The 3,673-nt window shown below is 38.5% G+C and overlaps 1 annotated feature.

The window, feature by feature from the left end:
* Window positions 2,275-3,249: an enhancer, noted in NCBI's record as "NANOG hESC enhancer chr1:88761804-88762778 (GRCh37/hg19 assembly coordinates)". NCBI's record gives its function as "activates a minimal SCP1, AML or CMV promoter by ChIP-STARR-seq in naive H9 embryonic stem cells {active_cell/tissue: H9 hESC(naive)}" and the evidence as "EXISTENCE:reporter gene assay evidence [ECO:0000049][PMID:30033119]".

Below are 3,673 nucleotides of genomic sequence, written 5' to 3' on the forward strand. Positions count from 1 at the left end.
TTGATCTTACTTTCCATACATGTTGTTTTTCAAGCCCAGTTATCTCTGGTTTCTGATGTCATTTCCCAACAAGTTCAATTCATAAAAATCACGGGGTTGTAAAGAATGTCAGCATGACATTAGGTGTGTGCTTTTATGTCTCAGGTAAAACAATGCCTAAGGCAAAAGTTGTGTTTTCAGAGATGGCCAGAGATGAGATGCCATAATCCCTTCAGGGATCCCTAACCTGACATTCCTAGCTCTGCTGAATTTTTTACCTTCATACAGTAAGATGACTCCTAGCACCACTACAGGCAAAGGGAATTTGGCTATTTTTACTCCCTACATTCAACATGCTGCTTCTTCTGGTTAAATAACATCTATTTCTGTAACCAAGATTCTGTCTCCAAAACTCTTTTAGTACATGTAACATTCCTGCTCTCTTCAATCCTCTCTTCACCTCTCCACTCAGTCACTCTGACAAAAAAGTATGATTATGGCTTATGGCATGAATAAATTGCCATAAGCAAAGATGAAAGCCAAAAATGATTTGATACACCAACACAATTCCCTCAATGTATTAGAAGGTTTTGTTTGCTTTATATTTTGCTCTCCTGCACTGGATGAGAATGGCGCTCTACATTCCCCACAATTTATTCTATTAAGTTGGCCCTTGAAGAGAGAAGCTCCATCTAATGCCTTCCTCTTCACAGATGCCTTGCCAGTCTCTGCTAAGGAAGATTATTCTGAGATTCCTCTGTTCCCGCTCTGCCCCTTGACATGCTTGCTGAATTGCCCATGCTCTTGCATCTTTGTCTAGTAGATCTTTCCTGCCAGTTCACACCCAGACACAGGCAACCAGTGCCTAGGCCTTCCTGTTCCCCAGGTGCCTTATTGAACCCACTGCATTTCGGTCACTTTGCTTTCTCTGTACCTTCATTTCGATTTAAATGTCTCTATCTACCCTAAGAAATTCTTCTAAAGGCCTTCCTCGGCATTCTCCTCTTTCAATACAAAGATACCTAGTCCCAGAGTGCTACCAAAGGTCAAAATGCTTGTATATTCAGAGACTATTAAAGCCCTAACATTCAAAGCAGATAAAGCAAAGCTGTACTTATTTGTAAGAAATGCATCTGTCCAAAATGTGCAGAATATTTTACGTACTTAATGTTGAGATGTAGTAACATGTTCTTCCTCAGTATCTCAGTTGTTTTTCTGAGTTTATATTCCAAACAAATGTATTCATGTCATCCTGTGTGAAGTGAAATGTAACCTACCTTCCTCCCTCCCTTCCTTCCTTCTTTCCTTCAGTATTCACTGAGCTCATCATGTGCAGGTACAAGGAGGCCACGTCATCCTGCTCAAAACCAGATATTCCCAGCTATCGCACTCCAGTGAGGCTCTGATGGCAGGATGAAGGTGAGATAGCAAGTTACCAGTAAAATTTATTCTGCATTTCTCCACAAGTATTTACTGAGGGCCATGCACTTTTTCTAAGTTGAGGGTTCTATCAGTGTCAAAAAATATATATATATATAAAACAACGCAAAAATCTTGGGGGATACATAGATGCAAGCAATTGCTCCACATTCGTTATTTCTACATTTTATTTTCCTGACTCTAAACTGATTCAGATAATGGGAAGATGAAGATAAAGAAAGGATGACTGAAAGGGAACCCTGGAACAGGAAGTCAGGAAGATGGGCCTGAATTATGTAAAGATCAGAGGTTTCTTCAGAGTGATGGAGTTTGGACGGTACTACCCCCAAAATATAGCACCCTGGCATTTGAGAAAACAGCAGAAGCTATTCTCATAATCTCCTTGCCCTTCTTTCCTGAAGCAGATCATAAAACCTAGGAAGGTCACTTCTCCTGCTCCTTTCCCCTGACGCAGGACATAAGACCCTCATTCAAGAGGTACCCACCCTACACCTGCAGGAAAGGAATATCCTTATTTCTGAAGACAAGGGGATACAGAGAAGAATCAAACAGGCTTTGCTAAGTTCACCCCAATTTATTACCACTTCTCTATCATACCCACTCTGTCCAATCATGCCTTTGCGTGACTACTTACTTCTTCATCAAACCTAAGGATTTATAAATTATTTATAAAGGATTTATAAAAATACATAGTTTTCTCTGTTTCTTTGTATCCTCATTTCTGAAGGCTCCTGTGTTATGTAAAGCTTATTAAATAAAGTGTGTGCTTTTCTCTTGTTAATCTAGTTTTTATTATGGGGCCCTACCCATGAACCTAGCGATGGGTGAGAAAGCTATTTTCTTTTTCTTTGCAAGGGCCTCCTACTTTCTGCCTTCCCTGCCATCTTTTATTTTGGATGCTTCATTAACACCCAGCCATGAGCAGAATCTCCGCAGGAAGCCCAAGAATCCAAAACAGGCCAAGTTTACCATTTGTAGCTATCTAAGACTTCCCTTCAAATCCCCCAAAAATTGAGAACTGGTTGCCGACATGGATAGATCAATTGTTATCCTTAAAAATCCATGTATAATGAAGAATAACAACAGTAATCCTTGGCAATTACACAGCTCCACTGCTCTCTTCACTTTACCATTACCACCAGAGCCCTTCAATAGAGGCAAGGGGCTCCTTTTGCCTGCCTGCATTGTTTCTCAATTTTGCATACCCTATTCAATTAAACAAGGATGGGCTAGCAGAATTTGACACCAAATTTCTTGAACTGGTTATTATTTGAGAACAATGCTTCTCCCAAAAAAAGAAATTTAGAGAAAACCCGAGATGAGCCAAAAGCTTAGGTGAACATTTTTGCTTTGGCTCTATATTTTTAAATTAGGAGCACTGCAAATGGAGATCTTAGGATAAAGTTACTGTAAATAAGATCTTTGTCTCTAAATGAGACTAGTTCCTCAAAACTCCTTTTTCTTTTTGACTTGCACTGTTCAGTCCCACTTTCAGTGAAATTCAATCACATTCATTAGCATTTCTAAAGATGTAAGCTACTCAAAACAGCTGCATTGTCTTTCCTTTTCAACTAAAATGAAGCTTTTCCTTCTAAAGGGAGAAATCTCCCTTTAGTTACCCGCTTCTTTCTGCCTGGCACCCATAATTTTCAATGGTGGAGCCAACCCCCATGAAACAGGAAGTGCAATCCCATTTGATCTCACTTGAAAGAAATTGTAAATACTTGGTAAAGGACAGAAACCGTGGCTCAAAGAAAAATACCAAAAAAAAAAAAAAGTATGAAAGAAAAAAAAAAGCAAATGAGACAAAGTAATAATCATTTAAATGAACTAACTCTTTGTCCCTGGAGCTAACATTCTCATTATCAAGGGTATTTAATATATTCCCTATAGAAAACAGGCTGCTGTCTATCAGTCCTCCTCCTCTTTCTTTGGCTGTTTCAGCAATAGAGAGGAAAACATTTCATCTTTTTAATCTTTTATGTCTATATAAAGACCATTCCATATGCTCCAAATCATAAAGTTACCTGCTTTTTTTTTTTTTCAGGGTGAGTACTGATGGAAACATTATTACTAGAAAGAACCAAAGGGTTAAAAGTTAATATTTCTTCTCACTGACTTAGAAAACCATATTTTGTGGTGCCCAGTTAAAAATTCTGCATTTAATTAAATTGTAAATCCAATTTTTTGCAGTTAAAGACTAAAGAATATGCTGCTATTTAGAAAGGAAGATGATGCACTCAGCCATCTTGAG

This window comes from Homo sapiens, chromosome 1 (genome assembly GCF_000001405.40).
Source record: "Homo sapiens chromosome 1, GRCh38.p14 Primary Assembly".
Lineage (NCBI taxonomy): Eukaryota > Metazoa > Chordata > Mammalia > Primates > Hominidae > Homo > Homo sapiens.